Genomic DNA, 24448 nt, shown 5'->3' with positions numbered 1-24448 from the left:
AATGACTGGCTGGCAGCAGAATACTCAGTAAAATGGAACTAAAACCAGGAGGATTTACTAATTTACAACTAGTATAGTGATCAGTAATTTACAACTAGTAGGTCACTACTAAAGAGCTCCAGCTTTGTGGCAATTAGCATGTGTTTCTAGAGACTATCCATAAGAACTGTGAGTGCAACTTGAAGTTTCTGGAAACATTTAATATTTCATTATTCCGAAGGAAAAGGCCTTGATTAAAGTGTTTTTAACATAAGCAAGTAAAGTAAAAGGTGCCATAGCTAGGCAGTGGCTCATACCTGTAATCCCAACTACTTGGGAGGCTGAGGAGGGAGAATCGCTTGAGCCCAGGAGTTTGAGCTTGGAGCGAGTTAATGGCTGCAATACTGCACTCCAGCCTTGGTAATAGAGGGAGGTCTTGTCTCTTGAAAGAGAAAGGTGCCACATACCTTCCATTGAATAAAAGTTGGCTGCTATGCTAGCCATCTCAATTAGCTACACTCTAAATGTGGAGCTTGCAGATAAGTTAAAAATCATAATAGTGCTGATAGTTTCTATTTACCTCACTTAAATCCTCCAAGTCTATCCCTTAATCAATGCAGCAATGATAAATCAGGCCCCTGTGCATGTCAGCAGTTCAAAACAGATTTTACTACTGTAGGGGCATATTTTTAACTACCAGAACATTCCAGTTTATTTTTTGAGAGCCTGTAGATTTGTGCGGTTACACATAGTTTCATATAATTGAGCCTGGAAGTTGGCATTGAAGTTTCCTCCATATGCTGGGCCATGAGAACCTTTGGGAGTGGATGTGGCTTTAGCTGGAGTCAATACAATTCAATGAGAGAAACATCAGATATGAGTTTAGGGGAAGATTCTTGCCAAAATAACTTGTGCAATGATGTTTCCCTCAATTACTTTCTCCTCCATTCATTTATGTATGCATTCCACTCTTCTCTGAGTCCAGAGGTAGAGCAAGGAGCACAAACTGGGAAGAACACTGCAGTGCTGTTTTGTGTGTGAGTCACAATCTACAGACAAAGGAAAATTGAGACATCAAGGGACTCACTGGAGGGGCCCTCTGGGACACAAGCCACAATTATTAGTCAAGAGTTATAACACAGTGTTTTTAATAATAGGACAGTAGAGCTACTGGCTACCATTTAGTCCTGAGTTTCTGGGTTTTTTTTTTTTTTTTTGTGGGGGAGCGGGGGGAAGTCAGGGTCTTGCTATGTTGCTGGAACTAATCTCAAACTCCTGGCCTCAAGTGATCCTCCTGCCTTTGCCTCCCAAAGTGCTGGGATTACAGGCATGAGCTACCACACCTAGTTACTAGAAATCTAGTTGTTGGCCAGATGTGGTGACTCACACCTATAATCCCAGCACTTTGGGAGGCTGACGCGGTCAGAGCACTTGAGCTCAGGAGTTTGAGACCAGTCTGGACAACATGGTGAAAGCCCATCTCTATAAAAAATAGAAAAAAAAAATCTACTTGTATAATTGCTGATTTTCTCCACATGTAAAGGAAGCAGATAAGCCCTAGTTTATTATCAATTGCGGCTTGCACATGACCTCATCTAGAGCACAGGGTTATCAAATTATTCTACTGTTCCCTAAGCAGTTGGTATAAAATTGGTATTTTCTGGACATCTATTCAAAACAGCTATACATGTAATTTCCTCTTCCTTGAGTACATTAATTTGGGAGTTATCCTTAAGAACTACCAATTCATCATGTAAGTCAAACATCCAAACTAGTATTCAATCTGGAGGTGGAAACTGGCAGTTAAAGAGGAAAATTACTGCACATGAAATTAGAAAGAAAATGAATACCTCTTTTGACTACCTCAGTGAGGTGGAAGAATGTGCATCAACAGATGGCAAGGATAAAATTGGAAGCTAAGCAAACACAGATCTTGGGCATGATGCACTGTAACCTTTTCTTCATTATGTTCCTAGCACCCCATCCTTCCTAAGCCTCTCCCATTGTATTAGCTTGAAGGGATTCAATCCACAGTGGTGGATTTTGTCAGATGGAACACAGGCTGTGTGTTAGTACCGTTGGTGACTGCCATTATATCAGCATGATGGTAACACCAACTGCTGGTATCTATTAAAAGTAAAAGTGACTAAGCTTCTGAAATTTGGTTAAGTAATGTGCAACCTGTTCTGCTCTGTTCCATAGACCAGGGAGGAGGAGGAGGACTGGGTGTGAGTGTCAGAGCAGCAGAGATTTTCATGTAGGGGAGGAAAAATTGCTTTCCACACCCATTGCTAAGTTCATGACTGAGGCCCTTATAACAAAAGACAAATCGACAAAAGCAAAGCGTACATTTTTTTGTTGTTTTTATTTTTTGAGACAGTCTTGCTCTGTCGCCAGGCTGGAGTGCAGTGGCACGATCTCGGCTCATGGCAACCCCCACCTCCCGGGTTCAAGTGATTCTCCCACCTCAGCCTCCCGAGTATCTGGGACTACAGGCACGCACCACCAGGCCCAGCTAATTTTTGTATTTTCAGTAGAGACAGGTTTCACCATGTTGGCCAGGACGGTCTTTATCTCTTGACCTCGTGATCTGCCTGCCTCAGCCTCCCAAAGTCTGGGATTACAGGTGTGAGCCACCATGCCCAGCCAGCGTACATATTTTTTAAATGTTTTCTGTGACATGGGAGCCTTTGTAAGGAAATGAGGACCCAAAGAAACAGGTGAGCTTGTGTATTTTTCTGTTTTGGTTTAATGAAGAGTGAACAGTTGTGCAAAAGTATTGGACAAAGCGGATGATCTAATGGTAAACTGGGGGGAACTTAGCAAGGCCTGTTTGTTCAGATTCTTCTCTGTGTTTCTGTGTCTTCAGAGATGAGGATATTTATTTTCCCTGGGTATATGGAGGGTACCTCTCGAATGAGAGTAATTTCTTTCTTTCTTTCTTTGAGACAGGGTCTCACTGTGTTGCCCAGGCTGAAGTGAAGTGCTGTGATCATAATTCCCCGTAGTCTCAAACTCCTATGCTCAAGAGATCCTCCCAACTCAGCCTCCCAAAGTGTTATGATTACAGGCGCCAGCCACTGTGCTGAGCCTACACCACACCTATTGAAACAGAATATTCAGCATTTAATATTTCGGGTTTTTTGTTTGTTTTTTGAGGGAGAGTCTCACTCTGTCACCCAGGCTGGAGTGCAGTGGTGCAATCTTGGCTCACTACAACCTCTGCCTCCTGGGTTTGAGCGATTCTCCCGCCTCAGTCTCCTGAGTAGCTGGGATTACAGGTGCCCACCACCACGCCTGGCTAATTTTTGTATTTTTAGTAGACACGGTTTCGCCGTGTTGCCCAGGCTGGTCTTGAACTCCTGGCCTCAAGTGATCTGCCCGCCTCAGCCTCCCAAAGTGCTGGGATTACAGGCATGAGCCACCGTGCCCAGCCAGAATATCCAGCATTTTAAAAACCCTTCTGGGATTTCAGCTCCCTGCTGGGGATTGAGGAACCACTATTGTAGCAGGAAGCATGGGAAGGAAATGAGCTCATGAGATAAAGGAAAACAGCTCAGGCAGCTGGCTTGTGGTTACTGCCCTCTTGCTAAAGCAACATATAAAGCGCCAGAGTGGAAAGGAATCTAATGCGCCTGTCCAGTGCTCAGCACCCTTGACTTCCGTCCCTCTTAACCACAGTGCGTGAAGGCCCTGCAGTTCCCCAGGTATGGCTTGGCCTCGTTTTCCACATTGTATGTTAATGCAATAATTTTGTTTTGTTTTTTTTTTTTTTGAGACGGAATCTCGCTGTGTCGCCCAGGCTGGAGTGCAGTGGCGTGATCTGGGCTCACTGCAAGCTCCCCCTCCCAGGTTCACGCCATTCTCCTGCCTCAGCCTCCTGAGTAGCTGGGACTACAGGCGCCTGCCACCACGCCCGGCTAATTTTTTGTATTTTTAGTGGAGACGGGGTTTTACCATGTTAGCCAGGATGGTCTTGATATCCTGACCTCATGTTCCTTGCCCTCAGCCTCCCAAAGTGCTGGGATTACAGGTGTGAGCCACTGCGCCCAGCCAACGCAATAATATTTTAATGCAGCCTAAACTGACATTTGCTTCTTTTGGGTAATATCAGACAGGAGACTTGTCTTGAATTTCTGCCAGCTAAAACTTGTCTTCATGCTTGCTGCTGAAACCAGGTCTGCCCCATCCACACACTGGTGCAGTTGGATTTTGGACTCACACGCAGGAACTTACACTGTGATACCTTTTTCTCACTTTGCATACCAGATGTCTCAGCATCCGATGTGTACTTTAGACATGTTCCTTCCTAATTCCTTTTTCTTTTCTTTTTTTTTTTTTTCATTCTATTTTAGCTCGGCTAAAACAAATAAAAGATAAGCGTCTGCATCAATTTGGCAGACTTACAAGAAAAAAAGGCATTCTTTCCATTTTGGAAGAAGGCATGTGGAATTAGTACTATGCAGTGGTGGTATTTTGAAATCTGGGTTCTAATAAAAGCCCAACCACTTGCTGTGAGAACTCCAGCATCTTAACCTCTCTAAGCCTCAGTATCTCCATCTAGAAAACAGAAACTCATACTTACCTCATCGGCTGATTTGGTAAGTAGAGGCTATCATAGGAGTGCCTTTACCATGAGAAATTCTTACAATACTGGTCTCTACTCTGAATCAGTGCAAAATACAGGATGCCTGTTCACATTCTCTGACTTGCAAAATACAGGATGCCTGTTCACATTCTCTGACTTTTGTGTAGCCTTGGGAAACTGCATCATGAATATGTTTTAGGGGTCAGGCGCAGTGGCTCACGCCTGTAATCCCAGCACTTTGGGAGGCCGAGGCAGGCGGATCACAAGATCAGGAGATTGAGACTATCCTGGCTAACACGGTGAAACCCTGTCTCTACTAAAAATACAAAAAATTAGCCGGGCATGGTGGTGGGTGCCTGTAGTCCCAGCTACTCGGGAGGCTGAGGCAGGAGAATGGTGTGAACCCGGGAGGCGGAGCTTACAGTGAGCCAAGATCGTGCCATTGCACTCCAGCCTGGGCGACAGAGTGAGACTCCGTCTCAAAAAAAAAAAAAAAAAAAAAAGAATATGTTTTAGGCCGGGCGCAATGGCTCACGCCTGTAATCCCAACACTTTGGGAGGCCAAGGTGGGCGGATCACAAGGTCAGGACTTTGAGACCAGCCTGACCAACATGGTAAAACTCTTGTCTCTACTAAAAATACAAAAATTAGCTGGGTGTGGTGGAAGGTGCCTGTAATCCCAGCCACTTGGGGGACTGCGGTGAGAGAATTGCTTGAATCCAGGGGGCAGAGGTTACAGTGAGCCCAGATTGCACCACTGTACTCCAGTCTGGGCAACAGAGTGAGAAGAGGTCTCAAAAAAAAAAAAAAAACTTTTTTAATCTATCCCTAGATTCTTCTTCAGGGTTGACAAGCAGTTTGATGTCACTTTAAAATGGGCAACTCATACCTTCCCTGTACCACGTGAAACTTTGTGTGCCTATATTCTTTTTTTTTTTTCCCCCCAAACAAACATTGCAGGGTTGATCCTAGTCTTGAAAGTTCGGGCCTTTCCTCTTGGCCTGTTTCTGGAGGAAATGCTCATGAGGTGGGTGAGAGGCGGATGACATCCTGTCGCTCTGGCCTCACCCTGGGGATGCCACATGACAGCACCGCAGCATTTTCAATAGGTGACCCATCTGCGAGGAGGAAGGAAAAATGTGCCCAAGGCCATTATGGAGAACAAACACCTATGCAGTTGGAGAATGCTGAAGACACCCAAGGGTGTTGTCCTCTCCCTCCTGAGAGAAGCTAAGAAGATCCAGGCTTAGAGTGCTACAGAAATAGAGATTTAGGATAGAAAAAAAGGAAGGATTTCCTAACTACCACCAGGGCTATGAGGCACTGATATGACTTACTTGTGAACACAGTTGTATAGAATTGTTATGTGGCAAAGACGAAGATCACGCTGGAATGTCTTTCACGTATCCCTTGGTGGCAGCAGTGGGCAGCATAAAAGTACAAGATGGCAGGTGGAATCTTTAACCTTGTGGTCTGGAGGCCGCATGATAGGGTTGCAGTGTATTTTCCTTCTCTACAGGCTTGGGCCCTCATTCTGTTTTCTCACATTCACTCCATCCTAGTATTCTTGAATCCTGTCTCCCTCCCCTTGAGATTCTGGCTCTAACTAAAGCCAAATATCAGACCAACTTTACCTGTCTTATTAGACCAATCACAGGCCGATTCTTTATTTTTCTTCTTTTTGAGACAGAGCCTTGCTCTGTTACCCAGGCTGGAGGGCAGTAGCACAATTACAGCTTACTGCAGCCTGAAACTCCTGGGCTCCAGTGATCCTCCCCGCTCGGCCTCCCAAGCAGCTGGTATTAGAGGTGCGCTGCACCACGCCTTGCTTAGTTTTTTTATTTTTAGTAGAGATGAGGTCTGCTATGTTGCCCAGGCCAGTCTCGAACTTGAGGGCTCAAGTGATCCTCCTGCCTTTGTCTCCCAAAGTGCTGGGAATATAGGCATGAGCCACTGTGCCCAGCCTACATTTATTTTTACTTTTTTTTTTTTTTTTTAGACAGAGTCTTACTTTGTTACCCAGGCTGGTGTGCAGTGGTGCGATCTTGGCACACTGCAGCCTCGACCTCCTGGACTCAAGTGATCCTCCCACCTCAGCCCCCTAAGTAACTGGGACTACAAGTGTGCACCACCAGGCCCAGCTAATTTTTTTTTTTTTTTGGATTTTTTTGTAGAGATGGGGTTTTGCCATGTTGCCCAGGCTGGTCTTGATCCACTCACCTCGGCCTCCCAAGGTGCCAGGATGACAGGTGTGAGCCCCCCACCTGCCTGGCTACATTTCTTTTAAGAGAGAAAAGATGGTTCATCAAACTTCAATATAGCCAGGTTGAAAATGTTTCAGACTGGCCGGCGCGGTGGCTCATGCCTGTAATCCCCGCACTTTGGGAGGCCGAGGCGGGTGGATCACGAGGTTAGGAGATTAAGACCATCCTGGCCAACAAGGTGAAACCCTGTCTCTACTAAAAATACAAAAAATTAGCCGGGCGTGGTGGCAGGCGCCTGTAGTCCCAGCTACTTGGGAGGCTGAGGCAGGAGAATGGCGTGAACCCAGGAAGCGGAGCTTGCTGTGAGCCGAGATCGCACCACTGCACTCCAGCCTGGGCGACAGAGCGAGATTCCGTCTCAAAAAAAAAAAAAGAAAAGAAAATGTTTCAGATTTGGGACATGTGATAAACTGGTTGCACTGATGGCTAAACAATCTCCTTGTATTTCTGCCTTTTGCAATGCGGCTTTGCAGCTGCTCCCACCAAGGGGGAAATCTACTTCCCCGTCCTTCACCACCAGCCCTGTGACTTGCTTTGACCGTGAGAATGTGACAGAAGTGTTGATGTGACAGTTCCAGGCCTAGGCTTCAAGGGGCCTTGAGCACTCCTCTCTCTCCAAACACTGCCTCCACTGGGAACACAATCCTGGACTAGCTGCTGGAAATGAGAGACTGGGTGAAGCAGGGATGAATCATTCCAGCTAAGGTCATCCTAGAACAGCCAGCTGCGCTGACAGCTGACAGCAGAGGCATGAGAAAGCCTACCCCAAATGACTCAAGACCAGAACTCCCCAGCTAATTAAACTCAGCCTAAATTGCTGATCCCCAAAATCGTAAGCTAAACATATGGTGGTTGTTTTAAGCCACTAAGTTTTGGGGTGGCTTTATGTAGCATAATTCTGGTAGTAGGTAACTGTTTCAGAAGACAGGAATGGTTCTGATAATTAGAACCACAATGACTCCCATATTTATGTCACCAGCCAACACTTCTCTCCCTTGAGTTCCAGACCCAAGTATCCAGCCACCAACCCAACATTTCTATGATCAGAACCAAGCTCTTGATAACACCCTAAAATTTACTCCTCCTATAGCCAGTCTTTACTGTCTTGATAAAATGAATAACTTTCTATTTCCAGTTGCTTAGGCCTAATCCTTGCACTCATTTTTAAGATTTCTTTTACATTCCATGTCCAATTTCTTAGCAAATCCTGTGGGCTCTGCCTTCAAAATATATTCAGAATCTGCTCACTTTTCACCAACTCTATGGCTACTACTCTGAGCCAAGCCCCCACCATCTCTTGACTGGATTGTTCCAGCAGCCTCTTAACTTATTGCTGTTTCCAAGTTAATTGGGCACCTTGTATGTTACCTGCCAACCCTAACCAGGCATGCTTCCACTTCACAGCTTTTGCATCTGCCCAAATGCCCTTCCCAGATAGCTGCATAGCTCACTCTCTGACCACCTTTAAGTTTCTGTTCAGATGTTATCTTGTCAATATCAAGAGGCCTTCCTGGCCAGGCACAGTGGCTCATGCCAGTAATCCCAGTACTTTGGAAGGCCCAAAGCGGGTGGATCACTTGAGGTCAGGAATTTGAGACCAGCCTGGCAAACATGGTGAAACCAGCTCTCTACTAAAATACAAAAATTTGCTGGGCATGGTGCATGTGTCTGTAGTTCCAGCTACTCGGGAGGCTGAGGCACAGAGAATCACTGGGAGGCAGAGGCTGCAGTGAACCAAGATCATGCCACTGTACTCCAGCCTGGGAAAGAGAGTGAGACTCCGTCTCAAAAAAAAAAAAAAAGGCCTCCCGGACCACCACATGTATTTATTTATTTATTTAATTTTTTGAGACAGAGTCTCGCTCTGTCTCCCAGGCTGGAGTGCAGTGGCGTGATCTCGGCTCACTGCAACCTCTGCCTTCTGGGTTCAAGCGATTCTTGTGCCTCAGCCTCCAGAGTAGCTGAGACTATAGGTGCGCATCACCACACTCAGCTAATTTTTTTTTTTTTTCTGAGACAGAGTCTCGCTCTGTCACCCAGGCTGGAGTGCAGTGGTGCGATCTCGGCTCACTGCAATCTCTGCCTCCCGGGTTCAAGCGATTCTCCTGCCTCAGCTTTCTGAGCTGGGATTACAGGTGCCCGCCACCATGCTTGGCTAATTTTTGTATTTTTAGTAGAGACAGGGTTTCACCATGTTGGCCAAGCTGGTCTTGAACTCCTGACCTTGTGATCCGCCCGCCTCGGCCTCTCAAAGTGCTGAGATTAAAGACGTGAGCCACCGCTCCTGGCCCACTCAGCTAATTTTTGTATTTCTAGTAGAGACGGGGTTTCACCATGCTGGCCAGGCTGGTCTTGAACTCCTGACCTCAGGTGATCTGCCAGCCTCGGCCTCCCAAAGTGGTGGGATTACAGGCGTGAGCCACCACGCACAGCCGACCACCACATTTAAACCTACCTTCCCATCATGGTATGCCCAACCCTCTTATTTATTTTTTCTCCATGGCACTTATTACAATGTAACACACTATGTATTTTACTTACTTATTTGTCATCAATCTCAAGCCCAATCCCATGCAAGCTTCAAGAGGGTTTGGTTTTGCTCTATTTTGGTTTGCTCGCTGCTGTATCCTCAGTGTTTAAAACAGCTCCTGATGCTTGGTAGGTACTTGTGGTGGTTGATTTTCTGTGTCATCAGAAAATCTGGGCACCAGGGGGTGCCCAGATTAACTATTGTTTCTGGTTGTGTCTGTGAGGGTGTTTCCAGATGTGATGAGCATTTCTGGCGGTGGACTCAGTGGAGTAGATGGCCAGTGTGAGTGGGCATCATCTAATCCATTGAGGGCCTGAACAGAACAAAAAGACAGAGGAAGGAGGAGTTCACTCCTATTGCTGCCTGCCCACCTGCTTGAGCTGGGACATTCGTCTTTTCCTGCCCTTGGAATGGGATTTATACCACCAGCTACCCTGGTTCCCAGGCCGTTGAGCTTGGACTGAATTACACCACCAGCTTTTCTGGGTCTCTAGCTTGCAGATGCCAGATCATGAGACTTCCTAGCACCCATAGTTATATGAACCAATTTCTCACTCACCTGAATGCCATATCCCCTTTTTCCATCTTGGTGAAACAGCTCTCTAACAGTTTATTGAGAAGCTACTTTTTTGTTTTGTTTTTTGAGACATTGCTTGTATAAAATATCCTTATTTTCTCCTTACACTTGATTATTTGACTAAATATGGAATTCAAGATTAGGAAAACTTATCAGACAGAGTTTTGAGGGCCCTGCTTCATTGTCTTCCAGCTTCCAGTGTTGCTGTTGAGAAGTCTGATGCTATTGTAATCGTCAATTCTTTGCTTGTGACTTGCTTTTTTTTTCTCTCGTCTCTGGAAGCTTTTAAGATCTCTGTTTCTGGTCCTGAAATTTCATCATATTGTGCCTTAGTAGGTGTCTTTTTAAATTTCTTGTGATGGATACTTGGTCAGGCATTTCAACTTGAAAACACATTTTTCATTTCTTGGAAACTTTTTTGAAAAAAAATTTGTTTCTGGTATTTTCATTTTCTCAGCTCTTACTTTCTGGATTTACTGTCAGCCAGATGTTGGGTCTTCTAGACCTACTCCTTGAGGGGGAAATTCAGCATAATCTGGGCATCACACAGACATCAGGCTTACCAAGGAAGCCAGTTTATGTCCAGGGCGTCAGGAGGCTAATGCTTGACTGCAGCCTGTGCCAATACCTCTCTGCTTCTGTTTCATGAATTAAATGAGAAGTGACCAGTAGGCTGGGCGCGGTGGCTCACGCCTGTAATCCCAGCACTTTGGGAGGCTGAGGCAGGTGGATCACGAGGTCAGAAGATCGAGACCATCCTGGCTAACATAGTGAAACCCCGTCTCTACTAAAAATACAAAAACAAAATTAGATGGGCGTGGTGGCGGGCGCCTGTAGTCCCAGCTACTCTGGAGGCTGAAGCAGGAGAATGGCGTGAACCTGGGAGGCGGAGCTTGCAGTGAGCTGAGATCGCGCCACTGCACTCCAGCCTGGGGGACAGAGCAAGACTCCGTCTCAAAAAAAAAGAGAAGCGACCACCTTGTTAACCCACTGTATTAGTCAGGGTTCTCCAGAGGGACAGAGCTAATAGGATAGATATATGAAAGGGAGTTTATTAGGGAGAATTGGCTCACACAGTCACAAAGCAAAGTCCCGTGATAAGCCATCTGCAAGCTGGGTAAGAAAGAAGCCACTGGCGGCTCAGTCCGAGTCCAAAAGCCTCAAAGGCAGGAAAGCCAATAGTGCAGCCTTCAGTCTGTACCCAAAGGCCCAAGAGCCCTGGCAAACCACTGGTCTAAGTACAAGAGTGCAAAGGCCAAAGAACTTGGAGTCTGATGTCCAAGGTTAGGAGAAATGAATAGAAGCATCCAGCACAGAAGAAAGATGAAAGCCAGAGGACTCCGAAAGCCGGCTTAGCCCACCTTCTTCCACCTGCTTTGCTCTAGCCCCACTAGCAGCCAACTGGATGGTGCCCACCTACATTGAGGATGGATCTTCCTCTCCCTTTCCACTGACTCAAATGTCAATCTCCTCTGGCAACACCCTCACAGACACACCCAGAACAATACTTTACCAGCTATCTAGGCATCCCTCAATACAATCAAGCTGCCATCTAATATTAACCATCACACCCACCTTGTTAGCATGTGGGTATGTGTTGAAAGTCTACAGGTTATGTTGAGAAGCTTTGTGAGAAACGAATACATGGAAGCTTCCGGGGGTTAAAGAAAATCAGAATACTGGCTGGGCATGGTGGCTCAGGCCTGTAATCCCAACACTTTGGGAGGCCGAGATGAGCGGATCACTTGAGGCCAAGAGTTCAAGACCAGCCTGTCCAATATGGTGAAACGCCATCTCTACTAAAAATACAAAACTTAGCCAAGTGTGGTGGTAGTCTCAGCTACTCTGAGGCCCGCCTCAGCCTCTCAAAGTGCTAGGATTACAGGCATGAGCCACTGCACCCAGCCTGTCTTTTTGTCTTGAGAATATGTCTGCATTCCTATTTCTTGGTGCATCCTGCACTGTCACCATAGGCCCCGGTGCGTTCTGCCCTGCACATGCACCATGTGTAGTGTAATAGCGAGGCAGCAAGGCACAGAAGGAGGGTGTGTGTTATTACATAACATCATGTAAGCCCAAACCCTGCCACCCAACCCAGATGGGAGTTATTATACAGTGACATTTCCCTGCAGTGTCTTGTAACATTAGACTTCCCTTTTCTTTCCTAGAATTCTTTAAAACACCCTTCCCTTGTATATAAATAACTTCTAAAAATATTGGAAAGTAGCTGTCCTGCCAGGTTATAGCAGGAGGTTAGCATTAGAAGAAAGCTTCAATTCCCCCCCCCCCATTATTTTGTTCTTCATTTATTTAATAGCAGCCTAGACTTTAATCTGAGTATAGTACAAGGTTTGGGGAACACTGCAGGAGTCTGAAATCAATAGTGATGTCATTAAATTGCCACTTTAAATTGGCTTATCCTGGCTGCTGACACCCCTTCCGCTCCCTGGGCAAACTACAACTTTTTAACAGCCAACACTTAGTGTGCTCTCTCTCTCTCTCCATAAACTAACCTAAACTATAAGAGAAAACTCTTGTCTTGCATTATTCTGACTCTAGTCCAGTGCTTTCCAAAGTATCTGTGGTAAAGGACTGGTTTTCTTTTCTTTCTTTATTTCTTTCGAGACAGAGTCTTGTTCTGTCACCCAGGCTGGAGTGCAGTGGCGTGATCTCGGCTCACTACAAACACTGCCTCCTAGGTTCAAGCGATTCTCCTGCCTCAGCCTCCCGAGTAGCTGGGATTACAGGCATGCACCACAACGTCTGGCTAATTTTTGTGTTTTTATGTTTTTAGTAGAGTCGGGGTTTCTCCATGTTGTCCAGGCTGGTCTCAAACTCTTGTCCTCAGTGATCCACCCGATTCGGCCTTCCAAAGTGCTGGGATTACAGGCGTGAGCCACCGCACCCAGTCTCAGGACTGGTTTTCTTTAAATTTGCAATCTGTTTGGACTGATAACTTTCATAAAATATAATAAATATGAATTATTATAAATGTAAGTTGGAAAGAAAAACATGCAAAATACAATTCCAAATAACTTTTTTGTTATTACATTGTATTTTTAGATTCAATAAACAAAATTATTCTATCATATTGCCTGAAAAGCTCCCTTCCTTCCTTCGTTCCTTCCCTCTTTCCTTCTTTCTTTTTTTTTTGAGATGGAGTCTCGCTCTGTTGCCCAGGCTGGAGTGCAGTGGCATGATCTCAGCTGACTGCTGCCTCCTGGGTGCTGGGATTACAGATGTGAGCCACCTCACCCAGTTTCTAAATGTGTGCTCTCAATCTCTGTCCCACACAGTGGACCACATGTTGAGTCACTATGCTTTAGTTGATACTGGCCTGAACATTACATAGTTTTGAGTTCTGAACTTGCAGTCAAATACTTTCACACTTCCCTTTTCAAAACCTTGCAAACTTTTGGCCTTTCTTTCTCCTTTCTCCTTCCTTCCTTCCTTCCTTCCTTCCTTCCTTCCTTCCTTCCTTCCTCCCTTCCTTCCTCCCCTTCCTTCCTCCCCTTCCTCCCCTCCCCTCCTCTCTCTCTCTCTTTCTTTCTTTCTGACAGTCTCGCTCTGTCACCGAGGCTGGAGTGCAGTGGCGCGATCTCAGCTCACTGCAACCTCTGCCTCCAAGGTTCAAGCATGCCTCAGCCTCCTGAGTGGCTGGAATTACAGGTGTGCACCACCACACCCAACTAATTTTTTTTTTTTTTTGAGATGGAGTCTTACTCTGTTGCCCAGGCTGGAGTGCAGTGGTGCGATCTCAGCTCGTTGCAACCTCTGCCTCCCGGGTTCATGCAATTCTTCTGCCTCAGCCTCCTGAGTAGCTGGGATTACAGGCACCTGCCACCACACTGGGCTAATTTTTGTACTCTTAGTAGAGACGGGTTTCTCCATGTTGGCCAGGCTGGTCTTGAACTCCTGACCTCAGGTGATCCACCCACCTCCGCCTCCCAAAGTGCTGGGATTACAGGCGTGAGCCACCATGCCTGGCCTGTATTTTTCTTTAGTAGAGATGGGGTTTCACTATGTTGGACAGGCTGGTCTCAAACTCCTGACCTCAAGTGATCCGCCCGCTTGGCCTCCCAAAGTGCTGCGATTACAGGCATGAGCCACCGTACCTGGCCTGACCTGACTTGCAAAACCTTCACAATGTGCCCCAAACCTACTTTTTAAAAATCACCAGAAGGCCCAGTTTTCTTTTTATTTTTTTCTTTTTTTGAGATGGAGTTTCACTCTCATTGCCCAGGCTGGAGTGCAGTGACTCGATCTCAGCTCACTGCAACCTCTGCCTCCTGGGTTCAAGTGATTCTCCTGCCTCAGCTTCCTGAGTAGCTAGGATTACTGGCACCTGCCACCACGCCCTGCTAGTTTTTGTATTTTTAGTAGAGACAGGATTTCACCATGTTGGTCAGGCTGGTCTCAAACTCCTGACCTTAGGCAATCCAGTCACCTCGGCCTCCCAAAGTGCTAGGATTACAGGCATGAGCCACCGCACCCGGCCTCCAGTTTTCTTTTTCTTTTCTTTTCTTTTCTTTTTTTTTTTAAAAAAAAGATGGAGTCTCGCTCTGTCGCCCATGCTGGAGAGCAGTGGTGCGATCTCGGCTCACTGCAACCTCCGCCTCCCGGGTTCAAGCGATTTTCCTGCCTCAGCCTCCCGAGTAGCTGGGATTACAGGCATGCGCCACCATGCCTGGCTAATTTTTGTATTTTTAGTAGAGACAGGGTTTCACCATGTTGGCCAGGCTGATCTCGAACTCCTGACCTCAAGTGATCTGCCCGCCTCGGCCTCCCAAAGTGCTGGGATTACAGCCACTGTGCCCAGCCAATAAATGTTTGTTGAATAAAGGAATATAATTTATAAAGTTTGGAAAGGGTCAGCATATATGGTTTTTGAGAAAAGGAAATGGGTTAATGAACTGCAGAGAAGAAAGCTAAAGATGGGTACAGTAGCTCACTCGGGCCAACTGTATATGAAAAAAGATGAAGAACTTGTCTACCTTATATGATGTGAAGTGTTATTTTAAAGGTGCCAAGATCATCTGATTATCTGTACCCCAAAATAGCCCTCCCCCCATTGACCTGCTTGCACACCTGAAATTCCATTATTAACTGTACATTCTTTTTTTTTTCTTCTTTTTAGACACAGGGTCTTGCTTTGTTGCCCAGGCTGTAGTGCAGTGGTGCAATCATGGCTCACTGTAGCCTTGACCTTCAAGCAATTCTCTCACTTCGGCCTCCTGAGTAGCTGGGACTACAGGCATGCTTCACCGTGCCCAGCTAATTTTTTAATTTTTTTGTAGAGATGGAGTTTCATCATGTTGCCCAGGCTGGTCTCAAACTCCTGGGCTCATGCAATCTGCCCACTCTGACCTTCCAAAGTGTTAGGGTTACAGGCATGAGCCACCAGGGCCCAGCCCTACGTATCCATTCCTACCTGGGTATTGAGTATCAATGATTGTTAATATCACAAAAAGAGAGACAACCAAGTATCTGTTACATACTTCCTGATGGAAGAACACACCACCAACTATGAAATGGCCTTGTCAAAAGATCAAACCTAAAGCTGATTGACATCCGTATACCAAATTATGGCAACTGTAGGGACAGAGGGCATATTATATGACACTACAGTGATGCCATTGCTGAAGCCCTGACTGGGGAATTCTAAAGGACAAACAACTTGAGTTTGTTTTTGTTTTTTTTAACAAATAAATCAAAAGAAAAAAGAAACAGATAAATTCTAGATTAATAAGAGATTTAAAAGATCAACCAATCGCAATGTATAAACCTTATTTGTGTTACCGGAAAGGGGTTCCAATCCAGACTCCAAGAGAGGGTTTGTGGATCTTGTGGAAGAAAGAATTCAGGGCCAGTCTGTAGAGTAAAGTGAAAGTAAATTTATTAGGAAAGGAAAGGAATAAGGAATGGCTACTCCATAGAGCAGGCCCAAGGGCTGCTGGTTGCCCATTTTTATGGTTATTTCCTGATGACATGCTAAACAAGGGGTGGATTATTCATGCCTCCTCTTTTTAGACTATATAGGGTAACTGCCTGATGCTGCCATGGCATTAGTAACTGTCATGGCACTGGTGGGAGGGTAGCAGTGAGGACGACCAGGGGTCACTCTCATCACCATCTTGGTTTTGGTGGGTTTTGGCCGGCTTATTTACTGCAAGCTGTTTTATCAGCAAGGTCTTTATGACCTGTATCTTGTGTTGACCTCCTAGCTCGTCCTGTGACTCAGAGTGCCTTAACCTCCTGGGAATGAGGCCCAGCAGGACTTAGCCTTGTTTTACCCAGCCTCTATTCAAGATGGAGTTGCTCTGGTTCAAAGACCTCCGACATTTGATCCTGATTGAAGCAAACTATAAAAAAAGAAATTTATGACATTGATGATATTATGGTTATTTTTTCTAGTCTTTTTTACCTTTAGTTTCTTTTTTTTTACTTTTATTTTAGGTTTGGGGGTCCACGTGCAGTTTTGTTATATAAGTAAACTCGTGTCACAGGGCTTCGTTGTATAGATTATTTCATCACGCAGGTACTAAGCCTTGTACCCAATAGTTATTTCTTCTGCTCTGAAGTCTTAATCTTTTAGAGAACATTATCTCTTGAGATTTGTTTTAAAATAATATAGCAAGGGAGAAGTGAGTGGTGAGATAGTTGAAACCAAATGGGCTCTGGTTGATAATACTGAAGCAGGAGGACGGGTACACAGGTTATTATTGAAATTTTCCATAATTAGAAAAATTAAAATTAAAAAAATAAAACAGACTGCCCCTCAGCCAAGTCTTCCGGGCTCCAGAGGGCCTTTTGAAAAACTGTTAGCCCTCGCAGTGGGTTAATATAGTAACAAATGATTAATCATTAACATTTTAGTCTGTGATGGTTTCCAGCAGCTTCACTGAAATGCCTGCCTTCCGCAGCCCAGCCTTTCACTCTTCAGCCCACCTCTCCAGCTTCTCCCTCCGAGACCCCTGCAGCCCCAACATACCCTCCACTTCTCTGCACCCAACCCCTTGCTGCCGGTGCCATTTTGCCTCCTGCAATGACCCCTCTGCCATCCTCGACCTGGCAGAGCCTGCTTATGTTTACCAATCCAGATAAATGCTGCTTCCTTTGTGAGAGCTTCCTCCTCCTCTTCCTCCTCCTCCTCCTTTCTCCCACTTTTCTTCCTCCCCCTCCTCCCCCTCCTCCCCCTCTTCCTCTCTCCTCCTCCCCCTCTTCCTCCTCTTCCTCTGTCAGAATCCATCACTCCCCCCAAAGAGCTCTGATTCTATTGTTCTTTCTATGTACTTAGCACCTTATGTTACATTTTCTTTCTTTCTTTCTTTCTTTTTTCTGGAGGGCAGTGGCGCAATCTCAATCTCTGCTTCCCGGGTTCAAGTGATTCTCCTGCCTCAGCCTCTCAAGTACCTGGGACTACAGACACATGCTGCCATGCCCGGCTAGTTTTTTGCATTTTTAGTAGACATGGGGTTTCACCATGTTGGCCAGGCTGCTCTGGAACTCCTGACCTCAAGTGATCCTCCTGACTCGGCCTCCCAAAGAGCTGGGATTACAGGCGTGAGTCATGGCACCTGGCCTTTATGTTACATTTTCACGTAATATTCCAACTTTTTTTTCATGTAATATTCCAACTTAAATTAAGATGGACATTTTTGGCAGATTAACTATTTGGGTTAATCTATCTGTCTACTCTAATCTCAGTCAAGGCTGGACAACCTTCATTTAAAGGCACTTTGGCCTTTGGCCAGAGTTCAGCGGGCCACACTCAGGCTGGATGGGCTGCAGGGCTGCAAATTTGAAACAGCAACAGGTGCTGACAGGCCGAGCAGCTGGGGAGAGACTGGCACAAAGGAGTGCACATGCCCTGGCCCAAAGGCGCACCCACCTCCCAGCTACAGGGGACTGTGGACCCTAGGTTAAGGGCGCCTTTAAATATTCATTCTCGGACCTCATTTTGGATTCATTATTTTATATTCATTTCCTTAACCAGGGCCTCACAAATGGTATCAGTTTAGGCCCTAGAAAGCCTGGGCCCTGGGGCTGGGCGCGGTGGCTCATGCCTGTAATCCCAGCACTTTGGGAGGCCGAGACAGGTGGATCACTTGAGGCCAGGAGTTCGAGACCAAGCTGGCCAACATGGTGAAACCTCGTCTCTACTAAAAACATAAAAATTAGGTGGGCGTGGTGGCGCACGCCTGTAATCCCAGCTACTTGGGAGGCTGAGAATTGCTTGAACCTGGGAGGCGAGGTTGCAGTGAGCCAAGATCGTGCCACTACACTCCAGCCTGGGCGACAGAGTAAGACTCTGTCTCAAAAAAAATTTAAAAAAAGAAAACCTGGGCCCCACCCCCTGGCTGCACGTTCCACCTTTTCTTGCTGATTTGGAGTTGAGCCCAATCTCTCCCCCACTGGGGAACAGTCCTTATATATATGGTGACGGCCCCCCGACTAAAGTCTGCCATTCCACTTTAACAAGTGTCAGTAGTGACCCTCCCCTCCCCTCCCCTCCCCTCTCCTCTCCTTTCCTTCTTTTTGAGATGGAATCTTCCTCTGTCGCCCAGGCTGGAGTGCGGTGGCGTGATCTTGGCTCACTGATTCCTCTGCCTCCCAGATTCAAGCGATTCTTCTGCCTCGGCCTCCTGAGTAGCTGGGATTACAGACATGTGACACTACACCCAGCTAATTTTTGTGTGTGTTTTTTTTTTTTTTTTTGAGACGGAGTCTCGCTCTGTCGCCCAGGCTGGAGTGCAGTGGCGGGATCTCGGCTCACTGCAAGCTCCGCCTCCCGGGTTCACGCCATTCTCCTGCCTCAGCCTCCCAAGTAGCTGGGACTACAGGCGCCCGCCACTACGCCCGGCTAATTTTTTGTATTTTTAGTAGAGACGGGGTTTCACCGTTTTAGCCGGGATGGTCTCGATCTCCTGACCTCGTGATCCGCCCGCCTCGGCCTCCCAAAGTGCTGGGATTACAGGCGTGAGTTGTGTTTTTAGTAGAGACGGGGTTTCGCCATGTTGGCCAGGCTGGTCTCGAACACCTGACCTCAAGTGATCTGCCCACCTTGGCCTCCCAAAGTGCTGGCGTGAGCCACCACGCCCGGCCATGAGTAATTTTTTCTGTAGCACACATCTGGCACGTCCCCTCTCCCTCACTCAGCTCCAGTTGCTCAGGCCTCCCCAGTGCCCCTCAAACATCCCCCCCAACTCCTGACCTTATGCTCGCTCTGCCCTTGGAGTCCCATGTGGCTTACACTCTCATTTCTTTTTCTTTTTTCTTTTTTTTGAGATGGAGTCTTGCTCTGTCCACCAGGCTGGAGTGCAATGGCACAACCTCGGCTCACTGCAACCTCTGCCTCCTAGGTTCAAGCCATTCTCCTGCCTCAGACTCCCAGGTAGCTGGGACTACAGGCATGTGCCACCACGCCTGGCTAATTTTTTTTTTTTTTTTTTTTTTGGATTTTTAGTAGAGGTGGGGTTTCACTGTGCTGGCCAGGCTGGTCTCGAACTCCTGACCTCATGATCCACCTGCCTCGGCCTCCCAAAGTGCTGGGATTACAGATGTGAGCCACTGCGCCCAGCCTACACTCTCATTTCTTAGGGTCTCTGCTCTCTTATCAGGAAGGGCTTTCCTAAAGAACCATCTAAATAGCAGTGCCCGACACTCTATCCCGCCTCCCGACTGACATACCATTACCTTCTGATGGGTGAGACCCTGACTTGCTGTTACCGTAGCCCCCATCAGAATGACATCCATTAGAACAGAAGGACCATGAAAGCAGGGACAAGGGCTCTATTTTAGCTTTCACTTTAAGAACACATTTTGTGGGTACTTCATTGTGGATACTTCATAAATATTTGCTTTATAAAGCACAAAACAAAAAATCAGATCAGAAAACAATATGGGCTTTAAAACCTAACAAGACCAGGCATGGTGGCTCACACCTGTAATCCCAGAACTGGTAGGCAACATGGTGAAACCTCATCTCTACCAAAAATACAAAACAAACAAACAAACAAACAAAAGCCGGGCATGGAGGTCATCACCTGTAGTCCCAACTACTAGGGAGGCTGGGGTGGGAGAATCGCTTGAACCTGGGAGACAGATGTTGTAGTGAGGCGAGATCATGCCACTGCACCCCAGCCTGGGTGACAAAGTAAGACCCTGTCTTAAAAACAAAAAACAAACAAAAACATCTAACAAGAATGTTGGCATCAAGCAAAATGTTTCATCTGAAAATAAGAAACTCTGGGTATGGCCGGGTGGGGTGGTTCATGCCTGTAATCCCAACGCTTTGGGAGGCTGAGGCGGCAGATCACTTGAGGTCAGGAGTTCAAGACCAGCCTGGCCAACATGGTGAAACCCCCATCTCTACTAAATAAATAAATAAATAAATAAATAAATAAATAAGGCCGGGTGCGGTGGCTCACGCCTGTAATCCCAGCACTTTGGGAGGCTGAGGCCAGCAGATCACGAGGTCAAGAGATCGAGAACATCCTGGCCAACATGGTGAAACCCCTTCTCTACTAAAATACAGAAATTAGCCGGGCGTGGTGTAGCGGTAGTCCCAGCTACTCGGGAGGCTGAGGCAGGAGAATTGCTTGAGCCTAGGAGGCGGAAGTTGCAGTGAGCCGAATCCCGCCACTGCACTCCAGCCTAGGCGACCGAGAGAAACTCCATCTCAAAAAATAACATAACATAACATAACATAACATAACATAACATAACATAACATAACATAAAAAATAAAATAAAATATAAGCAGGGCACGGTGGCACCCGCCTGTAATCGCAGCTACTCAGGAGACTCAGGCAGAGAATCGCTTGAAACTGGAAGGCGGAGGCTGCAGTGAGCCAAGATCATGCCACTGCACTCCAGCCTGGGAGAAAGAATGAGACTCTGTCTCAAAAATGAAAAAGAAGGCCGGGCGCCATGGCTCACGCCTGTAATCCCAGCACTTTGGGAGGCCGTGTATATTCAGTAGAGACAGGGTTTCACCATGTTGGCCAGGATGGTCTCGATCTCTTGACCTCGTGATCTGCCGGTCTCGGCCTCCCAAAGTGCTGGGATTACAGGCGCGAGCCACCGCACCCGGCCTCTTTTTTTTTTTTTTTTTTTTTAGTAGAGACGGGGGTTTCACCATGTTGGCCAGGCTGGTCTTGAACTCCTGACCTCAAGTGATCTGCCGCCACAGCCTCCCAAAGCGTTGGGATTACAGGCGTCAGCCACCCCACCAGGCCTGCAGGCGATGTTCTTCAGCCTCCCCAACCTTCTAAACAGGGTAAAAGGACCCTGGCGACTATCCCATTGCTGCTTGCCGCTAGGAGCCACACATTTCAAGACTTTTGGCTGGAAAGATAACCGTTTTTACGGTGATACTTCTAAGGTGTTTGTCTGTGTGCTTTTTGGTGTAGTGTCAAATCTTCTGGTAAACATGCGATGAACACATATAGACTTTTGGAGGGGACTTATGGCTTGGCCCCCTCTGCGGATCACCCTAGAGAAAATGCAAACATTACCGTTTAGAGCCGCACCCGCAGAGCTAGAAGAGTTTTCTGTGTGAGGACCGGGCGGCGCTGGAAAGTGCTGCGGCCAGAGACCCCCTGGCCTTTGTCTCTCTGGCGGGCGCGGCTGCCCTGCCCGCCCAGGACTCGCCCCTGCGCCCTCCCTGCGAGGCTGCGGAGAGCAGAGGAGGCCCGGCTCTGGCAGCAGGAACTCAAAGACAGCGAGCGCTCCCCGGACGCTGAGGTCCCTCCGCGCCAAGCCTGGCCTCGCCTGCAGGGCTCGGACGCCGGGGCGGGCTCGTGGCTCCTGCTGCGGGGTCCCGAGGACCGCAGCTCGCTCCGCGCGGATGCTGCTCGGCAGACGCCTCCTTTCTACCTTCCCCTCCACCGCCATTCAGACCAGAATGTACTCGAACATACCCAAATTAAAAAAAAAAAAAAGTAACTCATCGGCATTATCCATTTCCTCCTCCTCCTCCTCCTCCTCAACCCTGTTTTCCGGGGACCATGACAAGAGGCGGCATTTCGTGATGACAGTGTGGGCCACTGCAGTCGTTGCTATTTTATAAGCCAAACGGCTGCTCGCTTTGCCCAGGGAACATAAAAATGACCACCTCCGCCCCTCAAAAAAAAAAAAAAAAAAAAAAAAAAAAAAAAAGAGACGCTTTGTGGTTTGCAGTCCGAGCAGGTGAGAGGCCCTGCCTCTGGCCTCTTCCCGCGCGCTCACAGCCGGGAGGTGTCGCCGGGAGGGGGCGCCCGGGCGCCAGAGGATCTGAGATGCACTGAAGCGCCAACCTGTCTCTATTGGGAGCGGTTCAGGGAAGGAGAAAAAGAACAGGAGGAAGCAACCATAAAGAGCATGTTTGGGGAACGGTCACGTTTCCTTCAGAGCCAGGAGAATGAGGCTGACATTTGTACAGGTGTAGTCTGGCGAAGAGCCCCAACGTGGCACGTTGCTTAGCGACGGAAGCCAAAGCGTTAATAAAAACCGTTAGGGTGAACACTTACAATAAAAGACAGGTGGTACAAAGTCAATGGATGCTGCCGCATCTTATTATTGAAATTCCTGCTGGCTAAGTGGAAAGAGAGGCAGTCTTGCTTCCAAATTTTCCTTTGCAGAAAGATACCAAGCATTCCGTTGGGGATGGAAGTGGGGCTGTTGGTACATTAAGTCTGATGCGGTTATTATTGTGTAGGCATTCTGACATGGCCAGAGTGGTTAGCATGTGTTTACTATGAACGTATTCTTTCAGCAGTTAAGTACGTAATGTGCAAAACACAGGTGCATCATCACAGATTGTCTTCATTTAAAGTTCTTCATGTATGCATCTGCAGCCACCCTTTTGTATCTTCTTGTGAATACTTTGCCCTGTGACTGCCCTCTCCTACCCAAAAGACAGACAAAGGCAGGGAAGATGATGAAATAGTGGGTGCTAGGTGGGGAGGGTAAACAACTGATAGTTCCTACCCGAAATCTTGCCTCAGGGGCTTCTGAAACCAGCAAACATGAAAACAGGAGTTGAGTCAAGCATTGGTATTCTAGCTCTCAAGTGAAATTTAACAAATTTTGCAGCCACTTCTCTAAGGCTTCCCATAATTAGACTGATGAAATTGTAAGGGTTCTATTAAAATTTGTACAATCAATCAATAACCATAACCCATTAGTTGCACCCTGCTAAGGTATAGATAAAATAAATGCAGTAAAGAATGAAAAATTGGCCGGGCGCAGTGGCTCACGCCTGTAATCCCAGCACTTTGGGAGGCCGAGGCGGGCGGATCACAAGGTCAGGAGATCGAGACCATCCTGGCTAACACGGTGAAACCCCGTCTCTACTAAAAATACAAAAAAATTAGCCGGGTGCGGTGGCGGGCGCCTGTAGTCCCAGCTACTCGGGGGGCTGAGGCAGGAGAATGGCATGAACCTGGGAGGCGGAGCTTGCAGTGAGCTGAGATCCAGCCACTGCACTCCAGCCTGGGCAACAGAGCGAGACTCCGTCTCAAAAAAAAAAAAAAAAAAAAGAATGAAAAACATCCGGGCCAGGGGCAGTGGCTCACGCCTATAATCCCAGCACTTTGGGAAGCCAAGCTGGGAGGATCGCTTGAGCCCAGAAGTTCGAGACCAGCCTGGGCAACAAAGGGAGACCCCATCTCTATAAAAAAATTAATCCAATAAATAAGAAAAATATCTGCAACTGGCTAAAAAAAAGTATGTAGGTACGGTTTTTCTTTTCGGAAATCATACTCCCAGCTGCTGCATCTACTGTGTATGTACAGAAAAGGGACTTTAGTAATTTAACTCATAGATGACTAACCTGTTGATAAAATAATTGTTAATGTTTGGGTGGTGTAGTTCACCAGAAGGGCACCAGAGGGCGCCCAAGTTTGCTTCCCACAGAACCCCAGGGTAATTTGCAGTTCAAAAGGCTGGCACTCAGCCCAGCATGGTTTCAACACCTGGAGGTCCTGTTGCTGGAAAGCATTTTGGAAACACAGGACTGATAACTTCCGTTCCACTGGTATGAACTGGAAGATGGCTAGGCTAATGCTCACTGTTGGATTCGAAGTCTTGACCTTGTTTTCAGTTGTGTTTGGGGCTGCTTTGTAGGAAGACCCGTCTCCCAGCTCTCAGCTTGTCTCCCACCCTCAGCATTTTTATAATGATAGTGCACAATGACAATCCCTGGAATAGTATAATTACAGTCTAGTGCATAGAGCGGTATGGATGAGGGGGATGTGTACATTCACAGAGGAGAACAGTGAGTGAAATCAGCCCTACCTAATCGACAGAGCTTTGTCATATGTTCTAAAGGTTAAAAATTCTCAATACGGGGACTCCCTTTTATTTCAAATCCACATCTGAATCTCTTTCACCTTGTTTACTGTGAGTCACTGAATCAATTATCTACTGCTGTGTTACAAATAACCCCCAAATATAGTTAAGAATAATAAATATGTATTATCTCAAAGTTTCTGTGGGTCAAGAATTCAAAGCCTCTTGGCTAGATG

At 46.9% G+C, this 24448-nt stretch overlaps 3 annotated features.

Annotated features, from left to right (window-relative positions):
- Positions 2774–3274: an enhancer, noted in NCBI's record as "H3K4me1 hESC enhancer chr13:45904287-45904787 (GRCh37/hg19 assembly coordinates)". NCBI's record gives its function as "activates a minimal SCP1, AML or CMV promoter by ChIP-STARR-seq in primed H9 embryonic stem cells {active_cell/tissue: H9 hESC(primed)}" and the evidence as "EXISTENCE:reporter gene assay evidence [ECO:0000049][PMID:30033119]".
- Positions 21586–21645: a silencer, noted in NCBI's record as "silent region_5312". NCBI's record gives its function as "represses an Ori minimal core promoter by ATAC-STARR-seq in GM12878 lymphoblastoid cells {active_cell/tissue: GM12878}" and the evidence as "EXISTENCE:reporter gene assay evidence [ECO:0000049][PMID:35858748]".
- Positions 23489–24181: an enhancer, noted in NCBI's record as "OCT4-NANOG-H3K4me1 hESC enhancer chr13:45883380-45884072 (GRCh37/hg19 assembly coordinates)". NCBI's record gives its function as "activates a minimal SCP1, AML or CMV promoter by ChIP-STARR-seq in primed H9 embryonic stem cells {active_cell/tissue: H9 hESC(primed)}" and the evidence as "EXISTENCE:reporter gene assay evidence [ECO:0000049][PMID:30033119]".

Source organism: Homo sapiens, chromosome 13, assembly GCF_000001405.40.
Source record: "Homo sapiens chromosome 13, GRCh38.p14 Primary Assembly".
NCBI classification, from domain to species: Eukaryota; Metazoa; Chordata; class Mammalia; order Primates; family Hominidae; genus Homo; species Homo sapiens.
This window is presented reverse-complemented; position numbering and strand designations above follow the sequence as displayed.